The following is a 19,868-nucleotide window of genomic DNA, read 5'->3' on the forward strand; positions in this document are numbered from 1 at the left end:
TATGTGAGATATGTTTATATCATATATTATGTGAGATATGTTTATATCATGTGAGATATGTTTATATCTCATATATTATGTGAGATGTTTATATCTCATATATTATGTGAGATATGTTTATCTCATTATGTGAGATATGTTTATATCTCATGTGAGATATGTTTATATCTCATATATTATGTGAGATATGTTTATATCTCATATATTATGTGAGATATGTTTATATCTCATATTATGTGAGATATGTTTATATCTCATTATGTGAGATGTTTATATCTCATATGTGAGATATGTTTATATATTATGTATATGTTTATATATTATATGTAATATGATATATGTTTATATATTATATGTAATATAATATGATATATGTTTACATATTATATGTAATATAATATAATATATGTTTATATATAGTAGGAGATATATATGTTATAAATATTTAGATAGATAGATAGATCTCCTATTAGTTCTGTCCCTCTAGAGAACCCTGGCTAGTACAGCGTGATGGTGCATGCCTGTAATCCCAGCTACTTGGGAGGCTGAGGCAGGAGAATTGCTTGAACCCAGGAGGTGGAGGTTGCAGTGAGCAGAGATCATGCCACTGCACTCCAGCCTGGGTGACAGAGTGAGACTGTTTAAAAAAAAAAAAGAATTTGTCTCAAAAACAAAATAAAACAATCACATGAAAACCTGGGCTGTTGTGAGGTAATAAGCTTAATAGCAGTGTGATGCCATAGTGGAGATTCATTCATTCCACTAAGTGTACAGAGTGCCTACCCTCCACTCACAGAGAAATAGAGAATGAGGTCAGATGACTTCTGAGAGCTCCCACAGTTCTGAGCAGCTATGATTCCACTCCTAGAAAATGCAAGTGCTAAGCCAAAACCAAGTGAATTGCCACTTTTTGTTTTTTACCAAAATGTTTTATGTTTTACAGAAAAACCAGTGATTCAGAAAGAGGTTTATAAAAGCCTGTGGATGCACTCAGAGTCAATTTTATCGCTCATGACTGGCAATATTAATAGAAGCACTAATAAAAGTTATGATATGTAGTAATAAAACACCTAAGCATGCACTCATAAATCATATTCCCACAGGGTTTGCTAGGGCAGATTGTTTTTCCCTTGTGATTGAAGGCAGAACAAATTTTACACTAAACTTAGCTTTTCTCCAGGAGACCCATAAACCTCAGTACAGGCTAAAGACTGGAGTAAAACCATGTTGTTTCAAAGATAAAACACCAATGAACATACAGATATGAAAAAAAAATGTGACATTCTAGACTTACACAATGGAAATGTTTAGTCATCATACTTCATAGGATAAGAGCAGAGCAGGTTGCTCATTGGGCACTCCTAACTTAAAATTCCATAGGTTGGTTTTCTACCCTTCAGTTCTGCTAAGATCCTAAACCAAAAATTTGATGGGAGATTAAAACTTATATAGCTTTGGTGATGGCTGTTGTTTTTGCAGCTACTTACCCCTGCCTTCTGGTATTAGAGCCTTTCTTTCTCTGTTCCTCTCAGGAACTCCTCCTCCCACATCTGATGGAGCTACCAATCATCAGATCTCCTCTGCCTCTGGGGTGCGTCTCAGGCTGGCCAATCACGTTCTTCATCCACGTGGACTATGACTGGCCCTAGGTGGTTATCTGACCCAAGGAAGTCCAGAATCCTTTTGCAGGGATTATTAGAGATGCTAAGAGAATGGTTGGGGAAAGCTTATCTCCGGAGATGATACACTAGAGCAGGAGTTCCCCAGCCCCTGGGGCCCCATACGGGTACCAGTCTGTGGCCTGTAAGGAACCCGGCTGCACAGCAGGAGATGAGCAGCAGGCAAGTGAGTGTTACTGCCTAAGCTCTGCCTCCTATCAGTTCAGTGGTGACATTAACTTCTCATAGAAGGGTGAACCCCATTGAGAACTGCGCATATGAGGGATCTAGGTTGCATGTTCCTTAGGAAAATCTAATGCCTGATGATCTGAGGTGGAACAGTTTCATCCCCAAACCATCCCCCGAACACCATCCATGGAAAAATTGTCTTCCATGAAACCAGTCCCTGGTGCCAAAAAGGTTGGGAACTGCTACACTAGAGATCATTTGAGTGGAGATGCTGGGGTCCCATCCTTGCCACCATAAGGAGAGAGCTTCCCTGGGGGTAAACCAATGGAGAGGAAGGCAGAGCTGAGAATAAGAAGGAAGGGGCAGGGCCAGACGTGGTGGCTCATGCCCCTAATCCCAGCACTTTGGGAGGCCGAGGTGGGCGGATCACCTGAGGTCAGGAGTTCAAGACCAGCCTGACCAACAGAAACCTTGTCTCTGTTTCAAAATTAGCTGGGCGTGGTGTTGTGCACCTGTAATCCCAGCTACTCGGGAGGGTGAGGCAGGAGAATCACTTGAACCCAGGAGGCAGAGGTTGCAGTGAGCCGAGATCGCACCATTGCACTCCAGCCTGGGCAACAAGAGTGAAACTCCATCTCAAAAAAAAAAAACATGCCAGGGAGCGGGGGTGACAAAAGCCTGATAATGTCTTTTGAATGCTTGAATCCAGGGAGAAAACATGGAGATATGAATGACTGTGTGGAGCAGAACCCACCTTCTCCCAGCTCAGCTTTGGACTGTGAGGTGACAGAAATAAACATTTGTTGTGCTAAGCCACTGAGATTTTGAGTCATAACAGCTGTTAGCATCAATGATTCTGACTAATACAGTAGCCCACCATATGATTGTTCACTAGTATGTCTAAAATTCCAGGGCTGTGATCAACCACTCTCCCCGTCCCCACTCTGACAGTTAATTGACCTGTGAATTTGCCTTTTATGTAAATTCTCTTTCTATCCTTACTGCATTATTGTATTTCAGCCTTTGGTTTCCTGACAGATGTAATTGTCCTGTGTGTCCTTTCTCCAGGCAGAGTGATGTTCCTGGAATGTTCATCTAATCATATCATGCATCTGTTTGTAACTTTCTTTCTTCAACCTTATCTCCTGCTAGTCCCTGCTATACCTCTCTATGCTTGGAACATATTTTTCTTTAGCCCTTGTTTTCCAAGGACTGAATCTGTCTCATCTTTTGGGGGCTCTGTGTAAATATTCCTTTATCCAGTAAGCCTGCCTTGAACATTTAGTCTGATCTAATCCTAATCTGGCGCCTCTGCTATGAGCTCCCATAGTACTTTCTATTTGTTTTAATGGAGCACTTATGACACCTTATTTACATTGCTTGTCTGTTTCCCCTCTCTGGATTTGAGGTATAAAGACTCTTGGGCATTGCATTCCCAGGGCCTCGAACAATGCCTGGCACATAGCAAAAAATATGTAGGTATATTTTATGTATACGTATCTATGTCATATATATCATATGTACATATATGTGCTTAATGACATGAATGAATCAGTGACAAAGAGAAAATAAACATAAACGTCACAAAGATCCTCCTCCCATGCAAGTGTAGTAACTGATGTCTAAAGGTAGTTAGTCTGCAGCAGGTAAAAACATTTCCTAGAAATCTTTCAAAATCTTTCAAAATGCAGTCATGTATTTGATTCTTTCTAACATTTTTTTCTTTCCTTGGCTTGGGAGATTATAATATCTCTGGAAGATAAAAATATCTTTGGCTTGGGGCAAAATAATTTATAGTTAAGAAACTAAGTTTATTTATTTTTCGGATTCTGAGTGTGATTAGTTGCTGAGGCTCATTTATTATCTGAAATGTAAGTAGTTAAAAGTTTTCAATAGCCTAAGTCAGATATGTGCTACTTTTCAATTTGATTTTGCTTTTGAAGGTAGAGTGACATTAGTAATAATGGGGGTGATTAAAAAAAAGGAATTTATATACCTAAAATTTCTGTTGACATACTGGTATTGCCAGCATAGTTATTTCGGAGAAGAGGGAAGCTTTATAAGGAATGAAATGAAATAACTGTTCTTGTCTCTGTAGTTTGGCAATCCATATAGACACAATTTGCATTATTTTAAAGATATAGTTTTGAAATTAATGTGTTGCAGGGCACAGTGGCTCACACCTGTAATCCCAACACTTTGGGAGTCCAAGGCAGGAGGATCACTTGAGCCCAGGGGTTTCAGACCAGCCTGGACAACATGGTGAGACCCTGTCTCTACTAAAAATAAAAAAATTAGCCCAGTGTGGTAGTGCATTCCTGTAGTCCCAGCTTCTCAGTAGGCTGAGGTGGGAGGATTGCTTGAACCTGGCGGTTGAGGCTGCAGTGAGCTATGATCATGCCACTGCACTTAAAAAAAAAAAGAAAAGAAATTAATGTCACACCTTCTTTTGGGATAGATCATTAATTTATTTAAGAAATCAATAAAAAACAAGATAAACTAATTTACAGAGATTGTTGAAATGTCTTATAGAAGGCACAGTAAAATACAACAGTATCCAATCCCTTTCTTTCTCAGCTCTGAACACTTATGAAAGACATACAACATCAATTTCTACAGAAAAGAAAACCCCACACAAATCCATTCTTGCAGAATTCTAAAAGATAGAGAAAAAAAGAGGGGAGAGAATGAGAATCTGAAAAAGCTTCAACACTGCCATAGGAATTTTGTCCCAGGCCCAGCAACATGGTTATGCAAATCATTTCAGATGTAGAGGATTGAATGATGCACACGGCTGAGAACATTGTCTGAAAGAATAGTATCTAAACCTGCATCCAGGGCCACCTGTGGATTGTCACAAGCTCTGATCTTGGCCCATTCACTCTTCAGTTCTCATGGTTTCAATTCAACATTCAGACATTATCTGCAATACAGGTTTCATAAAGCATTATGTTCGTCAGGGAAATACTTCAGTGGAACATAAAATACTCTGTTGTGCCAAAGCAACAGCAGCTGGTAGAGTTTATAGAAATGAGCAGAGCCCAATATGATGAATTATAAGCATGCTTATGTTTAAAGCAAGCACTGACATAAAAGAGACAGCAGAACACAGAACATGCTTCTATTTAGCTCAAAAAATATGCACAGTATCAAGAAAGCCATACATAGTCCTTAAAAGATCTAGGAAATTCACATACTAGACCATATTTTGTTCTCTCTTCCCTTGGACATCAGATGTGAGATGGAGTAAGGACCTCCTTAGAGGCCTGTGGGCCCCCCCGAAGCATGGAAATTAAGGAAAATCTTGAGTTCCTTCAAGTTCCATGCATCTAGTTAGCCTTGAGAAGTAAATAAGCAACTTGATACGCAAGAAGGTAGCCTAAAGCAAGAGCCAAGGAAGCTAGAATCAAGGGATATTTGGTTCCCCTATACAAACCAAAGATAACATTGTAACATATGTCTTCAAATTGTTTTTCAGAAACCGAACCCTCACCAAACAGATCTGCTTGCACATCCACTTGCACGTAGACCTCAGATAAGTGAGATCTGGGACCTGAACTCTGACCACCATCTTTTGTTCTAAATTTCTTCCCGCGGGGCGTGGAGAAAGTCACACCCATGAGCTGGACCTAACATTCTTTTCTGCTGACCCCAAATTATTAAACCTTCTCAAACCAATTGCAAATCAGAAAGTCTTTGAATCTGTCTATGACCTATAAGCCCCTGCTTCAAGATATCCTGCAGTTTAAGGCCAAAACCAATGTGTAACCTTGATTTATGGTTTTGGCCATAAATCATTGATTTATTATTTTGCCTATAGCTTCTGCTTTCCTGAAATTTACCCCTGCTTTACAAACCCTTACCTGCTAGTCATAGGGAAGGTCAAGGTTTAAGCGTTAGCTTAGCTACCTGAGCCTCCTTGCTTGGCGCCCTGCCAATAAAACACTTTCTTCTGTTGCAAACCACCATGTGGATATCTGGTCTCACGGTGCCGGGCTAATAGAACCCATTTCAGTTCTATAACAGGTTTGAGGGTTAAGATAATTCTTTCTTTTCCTTTATGGTGTAAAATCATCACTCCTGTTTGCAGTAGCCTTTTCTCTTTTTCCCCTTGATCCCTGCCCCCCACTTCCCTTTCACCCTCTACTTCATGGTGCAAAATTGTCAGTAGGTACCAGGCAAGAGTAATGTGTTTGATATATGGCCTTGGTTATATAAACATCTTTGAATAATATATAACTATTTCTGGGTGAGTTGATTTTGGAAACCTGTGTTCATAGGATCATACTATCACATCTCACTCTATTTCTTACCCTTCTCACCTAATACTAGATTTCCCAGCCCTCTTCATGTTGTTGTATGTAACTCTGGTTCATTATTTCTGACTGTAACAGAGTATTCCATAGTATACCTCCATCAGATTTAACGTCTCCATTCCCACCCACGATAAACTTACATTGCCTCTAAATCTCTACTGTCTTAATGTTGTGGGCCATGGTGGCTCATGCCTGTAATCCCAGCACTTTGGGAGACTGAGTTGGGAGGACTTCTTGAGCCCAGGAGTTCAAGACCATCCTGGGCAACATAGGGAGACCCAATCCCTACCAAACATAAAAATAAAAAATAAATTAGCCAAGTGTGTTAGTGCATGCCTGTGGTCCCAGCTACTCAGGAGTCTAAGGTGGAAAGATTGCTGGAGCCTTGAGGAGGTTGAGGCTGCAGTGAGCCTTCATCATACCACTGTACCTATAGCCTGGGCAACAGAGCAAGACCCCGGCTCAAAAAAAAAATGTGATGGGCACCTTTCATCTTTGTACATGTGATATGGACAGGAGGCAGGGAAATACTGGGTAGAAGAGGGTGGTCCCCAGCGAGGGCCACACCCTCAAGCCTAGACCCATGGCCCAAAGTGAGAACATGCATTCCTGTTTTCCTGCCCGAATGTTGCCTTTTCCAAAACCATCCTGGCCCTTCCCACCACCCCATCCTGTACCCATGAAAACCCCACAGGCCCCACTGGTGGAGTGGCAGAGCGGCAGAAAAAGGAAGAAGAGAAGAAGTAGCTGGACGTCAGAGAGAAGCAGCTTGACTTCAGAGGGATGGTTTGACAGTGAGATCTCAGAGAAGAGTTCAGCCGGGGAAGACCGAACTCCAGGGGAAGACCATCTTCCCAATCCATCCCCTTTCCAGCCCCCTATCCCGCTGAGAGCCACTGCCACCACTCAATAAAATCCTCCACACTCACCACCCTTCAATTTGTTCGTGTGACCTGATTCTTCCTGGACGCCAAACAAGAGCTTGGGATATAGAGGACTGTCACACTGAGCTATGAAACATTTAGCTGTCTGCAGACAGCAAAGCTAAGAGAACACACTGTAACACTCCCTCTGGGGCATCAGGAGTCACAGGCAACCCCTAGGTGCTGCTGCAGGCCCGCATGGAGTTCTGCTCCTGCCGATTGGCCAGAAGTGCTCATCCTGGCCTCTGTACCCTGTCACCTGCATGCTCCCCGTCCTGTGAAGGTTTGAAAGCTGTGGGCTGAGTAAACGAGCCAACCCTTTGGCTAGTCCTGTGAGGAGGTCAAGGGAAGTATTCGGTTTCACATTCACCTCCTCAACAATCTGTGTGTGAGTTGTTCTAAGGAAGGTGAGAAGGATTGATTGATTATTTGATATATAAATACTTCATTCCAAAATGGCTGCAGAAGCCTACTACTCCCCAACCTTCAGCAGTAAATGAGGGTTGCTCTTCCCCACATCCTTACTAACACTTGGGATCATATGACTTTCCAATTTTAGCAATACTATCTTATGGTTTTAATTTGTATTTTGCTTATTTACTTGTGATTTTGGATCTTTTCCTAAAAACTATGTACTTGGGCTTCCCCTCTGTAAACCTATTTATATTCTTGACCTATTTTTATATTGGACAATCTTGTATTTTTTTCTTATTGATCTGCTAGAGTACTTCAAATTACCCTAGTTCTGCACTGCTCCATATGGTAACCACTAGCCACAGATGGCTATTTAAATTTAAATGAATTAAAACTAAAAATTCAGTTGTTCAGTTGCACTATCCCCATTTCAAGTGCTTGGTAACCCAGTGTGGATAGTGACTACCATATTGGAGAGAACAGACAGAAAACATTTCATCATCACAGAAAGCTCTATCTTCTCCCAAATGATCATCCAATTGTGAGTCTTATCTACCATGTCCTTCACTGAATAATGATCCTTAATATTCATATGGTCATATCCACCTATTTTTTACCCTCTAATGGAATTTTTTTTTTTTTTTGAGACAGGGCCTCATTCTGTCTTTCAGGCTGGAGTACAGTGGTGCGATCTCGGTTCACTGCAACCTCCACCTCCCAGGTTCAAGCAATTCTTGTGCCTCAGCCTCATGAGTAGCTGGGACTACAGGTGCATACCACCATATCTGGCTAATTTTTTATTTTTTGGTAGAGATGGGGTTTTGCCATGTTGGCCAGGCTGATTTTGAACTCCTGACCTCAAGCGATCCTCCCACCTTGGCTTCCCAAAGTGCTGGGTTTATAGGCATGAGCCACTGCGCTCAGCCACCCTCTCATGGAACCTTAAGAAGTCCTTCTCCATCCCCAGGTACTCAAAAAATATTCTTCTACATATTCTATGTTCACTTCATAGCTTTACCTTTCACATTTAGGTCTTTGATCCATTTGGAAGTCATCTTTATATATAGGTTGACAAAGTTTCAGCTTTATTTTTCTATATACAATGAGCCAATTTTCCAAATGCCATCTGTTAAACAATGTACCCCTTTCTTGCTGTTTTGTGGGGCCACCTCTATCAAATAACAAATTACCACATAAACGTGTCTATTTTGAGTTTTCTATTCTTTTCTATTTCATTCCATCCCATCCCATCGTATGTCATTCTATTCCACAATTAGTTTGTTTGGCTTGTGCCAGATGTGTACTGATTGTTGTGTTGTTTACTAGAAGACACAGTCCTCTCTTAAAGCAGATTCTCCTAATTATGATTCAGTATTCATTCTCTTTCATTTTCACTAACAGAACCAACCTTCTCTGCTTGTGCATGTGCACTTAACATCCACCATTGTGGACTGGCCTCCCAGTTTTGTTTGGGACAGCAATATATATACTCAGCCAAAATATTCATTTTCTCAGACCCTTGCAGCAGAGGTTAGCCATGTGGTAAGGTTATAAATAATGAGATGGAGACAAAATTCCCTAGGGTGATTTTTGTTTCCTGAGTAAAAAGATCTCACAGAAAGTCATTCTTCTCTTTTCCCTTTCCTTCTTTTCTTGCCTAGAATGTAGACAATATTCTGAGGTAACATACATGGGGACAAAGGTATATATCCTAAGGATATAAGGACAGGAAAACTCAAAGAACCTCTATGACTGGTAGCATTGTTTAGCTGTCAATATCAACCCAACTGTCTCTTGGCCTGTAGCATGAGTTAAATCATCCCTTTTCTATGCAACTCTTATGTTACGGTTTTCTGATATTTGTATACGAATACTCTTCTGACACAGCCTACCTTTCCCCTTCTTTTCTGAAATTGCTTTACTTGGACTTTAATTTTTCTATATAAACTTTAGAATAAAGTATTCAGGTCTCTTAAAAACCTTCCCTTGAGGCCGGACGTGGTGGCTCACACCTGTAATCCCAGCACTTTGGGAGGCCGAGGCAGGTGGATCGTCTGGGGTAAGGAGTTCAAGACCAGCCTGGCCAACATGGTGAAACCCCGTCTACTAAAAATACAAAAATTAGCTGGGCATGGCAGCCTGTAATCCCAGCTATAGGGAGGCTGAGGCAGGAGAATCACTTGAACCCAGGAGGCGGAGATTGCAGTGAGCTGAGATTGCATCATTGCACTCCACTCCAGCCTGGGTGATAGAGTGAGACTCTGTCTAAAAAAAATTAAAAAAAAAAACCTTCCCTTGGAATTTTGACTGGAATTGCATTAAACTTATAGATTAATATAGGAAAAAGGGAACTCTTTACAATAATAAGTCATCCCAACTGCAAATACAGTGTATTACTCCATTTATTTAGATCTTCCTTCGTGAAAGAATTTTAGTGAGTTTTTTTGGTAAAGATCCAGTGCATGCTTTGTTGGGCTAATTTGTGATGGAAGATCCAGTACAAAATGCTTATTGCATTTTGCCAGTTCTAATATGTACTTTGTTTTGTTTTGCTTTACATTTGAACATGTCTGCAATGTGGATTCATCTTTAGATTAATGACATCTAATAGTCATTGTTGGCAGTTGGCAGTGTTCCCTCCACCTGTCTCCTTTGTGGTACACAAAATAATGATGCATTAGAACATAGATGGTTTTGGCCGGGCACGGTGGCTCACGCCTGTAATCCCAGTACTTTGGGAGGCTGAGGTGGGCAGATCACAAGGTTAGGAGATCAAGACCATCCTGGCCAACATGGTGAAAACCCATGTCTTCTAAAAATAGAAAAATTAGCCGGGTGTGGTGGCGCGCACCTGTAGTCCCAGCTACTCGGGAGGCTGAGGCAGGAGAATTGCTTGAGCCTGGGAGGCCGGAGGTTGCAGTGAGCTGAGATTGCACCACTGCACTCCAGCCTGGGCGACAGAATGAGATTCTGTCTCAAAAAAAAAAAAAGGAACATAGATGGTTTTGATTCAAAGAAATATAGTATACATTTTTATTTAATATTTTTTCCTTTTTAGAGACAAAATCTCACCCTGTTGCCCAGGCTGGAATGCAGTGGAGCAATCATAACTCACTCCAGCCTCACACTCCTGGGCTCAAGCGATCCTCCTGTCTCAGCCTCCCAAGTAGCTGGGACTATAGGCATGCACCACCATGCTTGGCTAATTAAAAAAAATTTTTTTTTTTAGAGATAGGGTCTCACTATGTTGTCCAGGCTGGTCTTAAATTCCTGGTCTCAAGTGATCCTCCTGCCGTGACCTTCCAAAGCACTGGGATTACAAGTGTGAACCAATGAGCCTGGCCCTATTTGATGTTTTGTATTTGTTGATTTTCTTTCTTTTTTTTTTTTTTTTTTTTTTTGGTCCATTTTCTTGACACTTCCAATTGATCAAAATCAAAACTGATCATTTTCTAGAAATGCTTATTAACTTTCCAAATTACTGTATGCACTGCTGATTCTGATAATTTATAGTGCTAAGAGCATTCCTACATTTTTTGTAGATAAAGCCAATCTATTTTTTTGTTTTGCTTGTTTTTTTAATTAAAGTTTTTTGAAAAGTACAATATGTAACAAACTCCCATAAGCCAGCCTTGCAGATGAACAAATATTGACATTTTATATTTGCTTCAATTCAATTCTCTTCTTTTTAATAAAAATATAATAAAGTTTTTATTTTATGTATTAGCTTTATTTTATTTAATAATAAAATTATTATGACCAATGAAAATTTCCTACTTCTCTTTTTCCTTTCTGATATCTCACCTTCCCAGTATTGTTTTATGGATTTTAAAATTTTGCCTGTATGACATCTTTAGTCTATGATTTTTTTTTTTTTTTTTTTTTTTTTTGAGACAGAGCCTTGCTCTCTTGTCCAGACTGGAGTGCAGTGGCACGATCTCGCCTCACTGCAAACTCCACCTCCTGGGTTCAAGCAATTCTCTTGCTTCAGTCTCCCAAGTAGCTGGGATTAGAGGCACACTCCACCAGGCCTGGCTAATTTTTGTATATTTAGTAGAGATGGGGTTTCACTATGTTGGCCAGGCTGGTCTCGAACTCCTGAGAGCTCAGGTCATCTGCCCGCCTCAGCCTCCCAAAGTGCTGGGATTACAGGCGTGAGCCGATGCGCCTGGTCAAGTCTATGATATTTCTGCAATTTTCATTCAGCATTATGTTTTTTAGTTCTTGCCGTGTTAGAAGATATAGATGAAATCTATTTATATTATTATTATTATTATTATTATTTTGGAGACCGAGTCTCGCTCTGTCGCCCAGGCTGGAGTGCAATGGCGCAATCTCAGCTCACTGGAAACTCTGCCTCTCGGGTTCAAGCGATTCCCCTGCCTCAGCCTCCTGAGCAGCTGGGATTACAGGTGCGCACCATCATGCCTAGCTAATTTTTGTATTTTTAGTAGAGACAGGGTTTCACCATGTTGACTAAGCTGGTCTCAAACTCCTGACCTCAAGTGATCTGCCTGCCTTGGCCTTCCAAAGTGCTGGGATGCCAGGCGTGAGCCACCATTTCCAGCCGTAATCTACTTATTTTAACGTCTGGATAGTATTTTATAAATTCCTTTACTGAGAGACTTTTGGATTATTTCCACTCATTTGTTATTACAGTCATTGCTGCAGTGAACTTTGAACATGTTTCCTTTTTCATGTTCAGGTACAAAGAATTCCTCAATCCTACCTTCTAATCTCTTGATTAAGGCAATCTATTCTTAAAATGCAAAAAAAAAAAAAAAAGATAAGGTTTTTTATTTTCAAAAAGAAAATACATAATTTATAAAAACTCTAAGGAAACTTTACCCTTTTTATATGAAGTAACTGCAGTGTATTAGTGCATTATAATGAACAGTCATTGTAATTGCATTTCATGAAGGAACTCTTTTCAGAATGTCAACATTCTTTATTCCATTGAAAACTAATTGTTTAAAATACTCCCTGCTTTTCCCCCTCAAATCAAGCACAACCTAAAATGTAGACTTGCATAACTGTTTCATCAGAAATAGTGAAATCTCACTATATGTGTTTAAGTCTACAATATCACTGCATTGTTCAATATATAAATCTAGTATTTGTCTGAACACTTATACCCTATATATGTTTCTATATACTATAGAAGCAGTAGGATTTACATGACTGCATATTTATTTCACAGTAAAATTTATATAAAAATGTATTTCATTCCTATAATCTTATTCTTACCATGCTTTCTTAGATTCTGTATTTGTCTGGCATCTATTTATCACACGGCCAATTGTATTAACTTTTTTGCGGGGCGGAGGGATGAGACAGAGTCTTGCTCTGTTGCCCAGGCTGGAGCGCAATGGTGCGATCTTGGCTCAGTGTAACCTCCCCCTCCCGGGTTCAAGTGATTCTCCTGCCTCCACCTCCCGAGTAGCTGGCATTACAGGCGCCTGCCACCACACCTGGCTAATTTTTGTATTTCTAATAGAGATGAGTTTTTGCCATGTTAGCCAGACTAGTCTCAAACTGCTGGCCTCAAGTGATTTACCTTCCTTGGCCTCCCAAAGTGCCGGGATTACAGGTGTGAGCCACCGCACCCTGTATTAACTATTTTTCTGTTTTTTGTATTCTTGATGCTCTGGCATTTGGGAGCCTTACAGACCCCGGGAGAGACTGCTGCCCCCCTCCACCCCGGGGCTAATTCCTAAACATAGTGAACAAATGACTTGGGAGTATGCCTTTCATATGCAAGCCAACTGCTCTCTTTAACCTCACACACCAACCCAGTATTTCCTCTTCCCCACATCATTCCAGGGGCTGTCACTGGTCAACCAGGCACCACCCCAATAGCTCAAAGCCCACCAGAATTATTCATACTAGCCAATCTTAAACTGCTTCCCGTACCTTGCCTTGGCTTTCCTGTGGAAACCCAGTAAAAGCTGTGACCTAGGCTCTCCTCTGGCTCCTTTCTGCCTCCTAACCAAAACTGATGTTTCCCTTGCGGCCCCACATGGCGTGGTTTCGCCTCTTCTCTTGGGAAATGTAAGAAATTCTTCTTCCAGTGGCCTTGGCCTCTCCATGTCAGCACACAGTCACCTCCACAAATTAGAATCCTGTGAACACAAATGAGACATATCTACAGAAGGTCTATGTCTTCATCTGTTTTGCTTTGCTATAAAGGAATGCCAGAGGCTGGGCAATTTATAAAGAAAGGGGGTTTATTTGGCTCATGGTTCTTCAGGCTGTACAGGAAGTATGGCACTAGCATCTGCTTCTAGTGAGGGCCTCAGCCTGCTTTCACTCCCGGAGGAAGACAAAGGGAGCCCACATTACATGGTGAGAGAGGGCGGGAGAGAGAGGGGGAGGAAGGTGCCAGGCTCTTTTAAACAATCATATTCTCAAGGTGACTTAAAGAGCAAGAACTCAGCCGGGCGCGATGGCTCATGCCTGTAATTCCAGCATTTTGGGAGGCTGAGGTGGGTGGATCACCTGAGGTCAGGAGTTTGAGACCAGCCTGGTCAACATGGTGAAACCCCCATCTCTACTAAAAATACAAAAATTAGCTGGGCATGGTGGTGGGCACCTGCAATCCCAGCTACTCAGGAGGTTGAGACAGGAGAATCGCTTGAACCTGGGAGGTGGAGGTTGCAGTGAGCTGAGATCACGCCACTGCCCTCCAGCCTGGGCGACAGAGCAAGACTCCATCTCAAAAAAAAAAAAAAAAGCAAGAACTCATTCATTACCATAAGGATGGCACCAAGACATTCATGAGGGATCTACCCGATGGTCCATACATCTCCCACCAGGCCCCACCTCCATCACTGGGGTTCACATTTTAACATGAGGCTTGGAAGGGACAAACATCCAGACGATGTCAGTCTACTACCCTCCTCCCTCCAATGCAAAAAAAATAAAAAAGCGCATAGAAAAAAACTCAAACCGTACCAAAGGGTAAACAGTAAGTCTCCTTCCTACTCCAGAACTTAAGTTCCCCAGAATCCCTGGCTCAGTTTATAATACATAAGCTGTTTATATAACTGTTTATGTTATTGCAGGATTTCAATAACACTTATGAGAAAGAAGAGTCTAGAACGGGTTAATGAATCTGCATTAGAACTGACTCAAGTGATTTCTGTATAAGGCAGCTTTGTAGATAACTTTTAAAAAATGTTTCATGTTTCCAAGTATTCTTTAGTTCCCACTTTGACCTGTTCTGGAGCAGCTCCCTGACGCTGGCAGTTTGGTGCTCTGTTCTGGAACACATTTTCTGTTGAAGGACCCTTCACTGCTCAGTTAGAACATTTCACATGCTCCCCGCTAAACATCCACAGAGGTCACTTATTCTGCCTATTTCTCTTCACTGGATATTCCTTTAATGCCTACCAAACAGCCTCAGTTGGCCCCGTACCTGATACACCTTAACCCATTTAAAATTATTCTTTTATCAAGGATAAATAAATGTTGGGACTTTTTGGTCTACAGAATTCTTTATCATCCTTAGGATATTTAGAAATAGTATAATCAATAATTTTTGTTTTTCTCCCATTTTAATCCACTTTTCTGTAGATTTACATTTAAGTCACCATAATTTAGTTGATTTGATTAAGTAAATACATAACTTAGTACTTTCATTCTGATCTGCTCTCTTCTCTACTTCTACATCAATAGGCTGCATTTATCTTCTTATTTTTTTATTTTATTGAGATGGAGTCTCGCTCTGTCGTCCAGGCTAGAGTGTAGTGGCGCAATCTTGGCTCACTGCAACCTCCACCGCCCAGGTTCAAGCAATTCTCGTGCCTCAGCCTCCCGAGCAGCTGGGACTACAGGCGCACACCACCACGCCCAGCTAATTTTCTTGTATTTTTAGTAGAGATGGCGTTTCACCATGTTGGCCAAGCTGGTCTCAAACTCCTGACCTCAGGTGATCCACCCTCAGCCTCCCAAAGTTCTGGGATTACAGGTGTGAGCCACTGCACCCAGCCTGCATTTATTTTTTTTTAAATGGAGTAGGGAGGAAGCTGATAAAAACCAATATTAAGTTAAATACATAAATTCCTTTATGTTTGGTTGATTTTCATAATTGCTACTTGGATAGAAACAGTCATGCAAGCAACTGGTGATCAACCAACCTGCCCAAGTATGGGCCCAAGAAAGAAACACCATGGACTGCTGCCATGGTCAGAGATGGCACTTTTATTTAAAAAAGTAACTCATGAAGAAAACGACATTTTATTATCATGAATGAAGTGTCTTAGGTGATGCCACTCGTTACTACAAAGCCAAAAATAAACAAGTGAAGAAAACAAATTAAAATGAACCTTTAACTGCCATTTTATCTTCTTGCTGACATACATTTCCAAAGACATAAAATCCTCCTTCCTATGAAGTCAGTGGGAGGAAGAAACTGTTTTTGAAAATTATTAACTGAATTTCCACTGAAATATTAACGTGTAGAAAATATTATTTCTTTGGTGGAATCATATAGGTAAAATCTATATAATGGTCTTTATCCATAAAAGAGCTCATATTCAGTATAATATGTAGCATAAAACTAGGAAATATCTATACTTAAATCTTATTGAGAGGTGAAGCTGGCTGGGCTTCTGGGTCGGGTGGGGACTTGGAGAACTTTTCTGTCTAGCTAAAGGATTGTAAATGCACCAATCAGTGCTCTGTGTCTAGCTAAAGGTTTGTAAACGCACCAATCAATGCTCTGTGTCTAGCTAATTGGGTAGGAGACTTGGAGAACTTTTGTGTCTAGCTAAAGGATTGTAAATGCACCAATCAGCACTCTGTGTCTAGCTAAAGGTTGGGAATTTTAATGATTCCACATATAAATTAAACGTTCTTACATTTGCATTTAAAAATGGCATCACACCATATCAAGATGAAGGTAAAAATGCTGATAATCTATAATTATAACTTGGAATGGCATCAAATAACATGTAAAAACGTCACGACAAGGTGAGAGAGAAACTGCAGAAGAAAAGAAAAAACATTTTAGTACCTTTTTAAAAAAATTTTATTTTTTAAAATAGAGACAAGGTCTCACTATGCCGTGCAGACTGGTCTCAAACTCCTGAGTTCAAGTGATCCTTTCACTTCAGCCTCCCAAAATGTGAGGCCTTTTGCTCCAAAAGCCGGATTACAGGCATGAGCCACCATGCCTAGCCAAGTATCTTTAATGGCAAATTTTTCCTGCTTTTGGAGCAAAAGGGTTCACATTTTCATTTTGCAGTGGCCTTAAACACTATGTAGCCAGCCGTGGAGGGAGCTACACAGTTACAAGAATTCAGGAGCCACCTATATCCTGAATGACCTGTGTGCTCACTCTCCAAAGGGTCTGGCTAATGGAGTCCCTGTTCTTCCTGTGAAGTTTGGGCACTTGATTTTTCTAGGTTCCCATGTGTCTTAGCCATGTGTCTGAGGTCCCCGTTTCCTTATTACTACAAGATGATTTATAATAGACTTCCCTAATTGGAGACAACCAGAGTTCTCTATTCTTTGCGATTAAAAGCACCTAACATAAAACCACAAAATATGCTATGATTTTTGTTCAGTAAATTATGTAGAATTATTTTCATTCCCAAAATAAGTGATGCTAACTTAAATATGCTATATGCTATGGTTTGAATATGGTTGCCCCCACCAAAACTCATTTTGAGGCTTGGTCTGCAGTGTAACAGTTTTGAGAAATGGTGGTATTTTTGAGGGACGTTGGGTCATGAGGGATCCATCTTCATGAAGGGATTAGTGCCATCTTTTGGGCATGGGTTCTCGCTCTCCAAAAACAAACAAACAAACAAAATCAGCAAAATGGGTGAGGGAATCTAATGCTGTCATCACACTTCTGCCCTAAGGGACTCCAACCTTTATGTGGGCTTTAGGGGAGACATGTAAAGAATGAGCACAATCATTGTGGTTTTAGTCTGCGTAGACAGGGCATAGTAATCAACACTGACTGAGTCAGCAGTGACATTTGCCTCAGCAACAGATGACTAGGTGGAAGGTGAAACAAATGTGAGAATATGGACCAAGGAGATAGGACTGGATTATGGAAATCAGTGGACAAACCATAAAGCCGAAGAAATATTCCAAATGGACAATGTGATAGAGGCCATGGACTACTGCCAGGAAATTTTTTTTGTCTTTAAACTTTATCCTGTTTGATTTTCCCCTTGACAAGGGATAGAAGGGTACTTACTGGAGAATGTAAACATTTTAGTACGGTTAAGTTATGGACAGTATCTACTGTGAATAGAAATTGAGACTCACTGGAGAAGATGTCTTATATTTATTCATAAGTGTATATTTAGGTTTGATGTGAGTTTAGACACTACGTCTAACTTTGGGCCCTCCTTCCTGGTCCTGAAAAGCAATACCCAACCAAAACTGCCTGAGAACTCAGCCTGCTCATTGGCAGATGAGGTCAGCAAAGGCAAATGGCTACACAGAACCCTCAGACAAAGACTGAGAGAAAAAAATATATATATGGTTTGATTGATAGATAGCATGTTTACAGACCCAAACAATTGTTTGGAAATGTAATAGCTGGCAGCTGTTTGCTTCCTTGGTTTGTTCAGGGTGTTTTGCTTAAATAACACAGGGATGTGCTTGGAGCATGTGGCCTGCTCACAGCCAACCACAATGAGGCAATAGTCTTTTACAAGGAGAGGTAACCTGCTTTTGTTAGAGGTGATAATATGTTAAAAATAGAAACAGGAAGAGTTTAGATAATGTAGGGACCAAGGGCCCTCTAAAGGTTTGCTGAAAATCACTGACATGAGGCTAATTGATTAATAGGAGAAAGGGCATGCAAATTTATTTCACATGGATACACAGTAGCCTTGAGAATGAAAATCCAAATATACAGGGGAAGCTGTCCCTCCCTCCCTCCTTCCTTCCCTCCCTTCCTTCCTTCCTTCCCTCCCTTCTTTTCTCTTTCTCTGTTTCTCTCTTTCTTTCTGTTTCTTTCTTTCTTTCTTTTTCTTTTCTTTCTTTCTTTCTTTTCTTTTTCTTTCTCTTTCTGTCTCTCTCTTTCTTTCTTTCCTTGTCTCTCTCTCTCTTTCCATCCCTCCCTCCCTCCCTCCCTTCCTTCCTTCCTCTCTCTTTCTCTCTCTTTCTTCTTTCTTCTTTTGAGACAGTCTTGCTCTGTTTCCCAGGCTGTAGTGTAGTGGCATCATAACTCACTGTAGCCTCAACTTCCTGGGCTCAAGCAATCCTCTCACCTTAGCCTCCCAAGTTGCTGGTACTATAGGCACGAATCATCACCACACCTGGCTAATTCTTTTTTCCTTTTTGTGGAGACGGGGTCTTTCTATGTTGCCCAGGCTTAATCCCAAACTCCTGGCCTCAAGTGATCTTCCCACCTCAGCCTCCCAAAGTGCTGGGATTACAGGTGTAAGGTGCCACATCTGGTAACTTGTCCATTTTTTTTTTTTTTTTTTGAGACGGAGTCTTGCACTGTCGCCCAGGCTAGAGTGCAGTGGCACAATCTCGGCTCACTGCAAGCTCTGCCTCCCGGGTTCACACTGTTATCCTGCCTCAGCCTCCCGAGTAGCTGGGACTACAGGCGCCCGCCACCACGCCCGGCTAATTTTTTTGACTTTTTAGTACAGATGGGGTTTCACAATGTTGGCCAGGCTGATCTCAAACTCCTGACCTCAGGTGATCTGCCTGCCTCGGCCTTCTAAAGTGTTGGGATTACAGGCATGAGCGACCACACCCTGTCCCAGATCATTTATTTATGGCCAGTTTTTATACAAAAAGGCGGAGGAAAAATTAGAGTAATATTTTTAGGTTTTATGGCTGGCTTTTGGGAAAACGTATTCTGGTTTCTACAACCTGCCTTGGGGAAGAAGAATTCTAGCTTCTATGGCTGGCCTTGGGAGAGAATGGGACTGAGAGACGGGAGGGCAGAAGAGCAGAGAAAACCTTTGTCCTGAGGCTGCTGGCGAGCCTTTCATTTGGGGTATTATTTTCTAAGCCCCAACAATAACGTCATAATTAACAAATCCAAAAGAAAGTTAGAGATGTTTGAGTTTGAGTGGTTTAGGCCAATTATGAAAGTCAGTATTTTTGGAGATTAGATTTCCACAAAACATACCCCATCGGCACTGCTGTTGGGGAAGAATACAGAGCGGAATGGAGCGTCTATGGTGTTGTTTGTTTGATTGTAGGAAAAAAAGGATATGTTATTAACGTTAAGACTTTTGGAATTTACCAATACCTTGAGACTGCATGTGCTTTTTCTTTTTTGTTGTGCAAATGGCTTACACTGTTGAGTTTAATCTCTTGTGTGGGTACTTGGTGTGAAGATGGAATATCAATTATGTAATTAGGAAGGTGGTGGGGGCACA

General features: G+C 41.0%; 1 protein-coding gene across 20 annotated transcripts in view, besides 2 other annotated features; it reads left to right on the plus strand.

The window, feature by feature from the left end:
* The window catches only part of PDK1 (pyruvate dehydrogenase kinase 1), a 168,940-nt gene that overhangs the window by 67,131 nt on the left and 81,941 nt on the right, over positions 1-19,868 (plus strand). For 4 of the 20 annotated variants that reach the window (XR_001738771.2, XR_007076392.1, XR_007076398.1 and 1 more), the window contains 4 exons: positions 1,533-1,649; positions 2,557-2,630; positions 4,014-4,109; positions 5,326-5,525. The exons of 6 other annotated variants lie outside the window; for them this stretch is intronic. The gene's annotated coding sequence lies outside the window, so the exon portion shown is untranslated. Of the gene's footprint in view, positions 1-1,532; positions 1,650-2,556; positions 4,110-5,325; positions 5,526-19,868 lie in introns of those variants that run through there. 10 more of the 20 variants (XR_007076391.1, XR_922942.2, XR_007076396.1 and 7 more) reach the window with 6 other exon arrangements.
* Positions 6,570-6,739: an enhancer, noted in NCBI's record as "experimental_56189 CRE fragment used in MPRA reporter constructs". NCBI's record gives its function as "activates a minimal promoter by MPRAs in K562 erythroleukemia cells, with activity observed for both the introgressed and non-introgressed 2:173493886 or rs1531149 variant alleles {active_cell/tissue: K562}" and the evidence as "EXISTENCE:reporter gene assay evidence [ECO:0000049][PMID:34662402]".
* Position 6,655: a transcriptional cis regulatory region, noted in NCBI's record as "Neanderthal adaptively introgressed variant 2:173493886 (GRCh37/hg19 assembly coordinates) or rs1531149 in the experimental_56189 CRE". NCBI's record gives its function as "modulates activity of the experimental_56189 enhancer by MPRAs in K562 erythroleukemia cells {active_cell/tissue: K562}" and the evidence as "EXISTENCE:reporter gene assay evidence [ECO:0000049][PMID:34662402]".

This window comes from Homo sapiens, chromosome 2 (genome assembly GCF_000001405.40).
Source record: "Homo sapiens chromosome 2, GRCh38.p14 Primary Assembly".
Classification (NCBI taxonomy): Eukaryota; Metazoa; Chordata; class Mammalia; order Primates; family Hominidae; genus Homo; species Homo sapiens.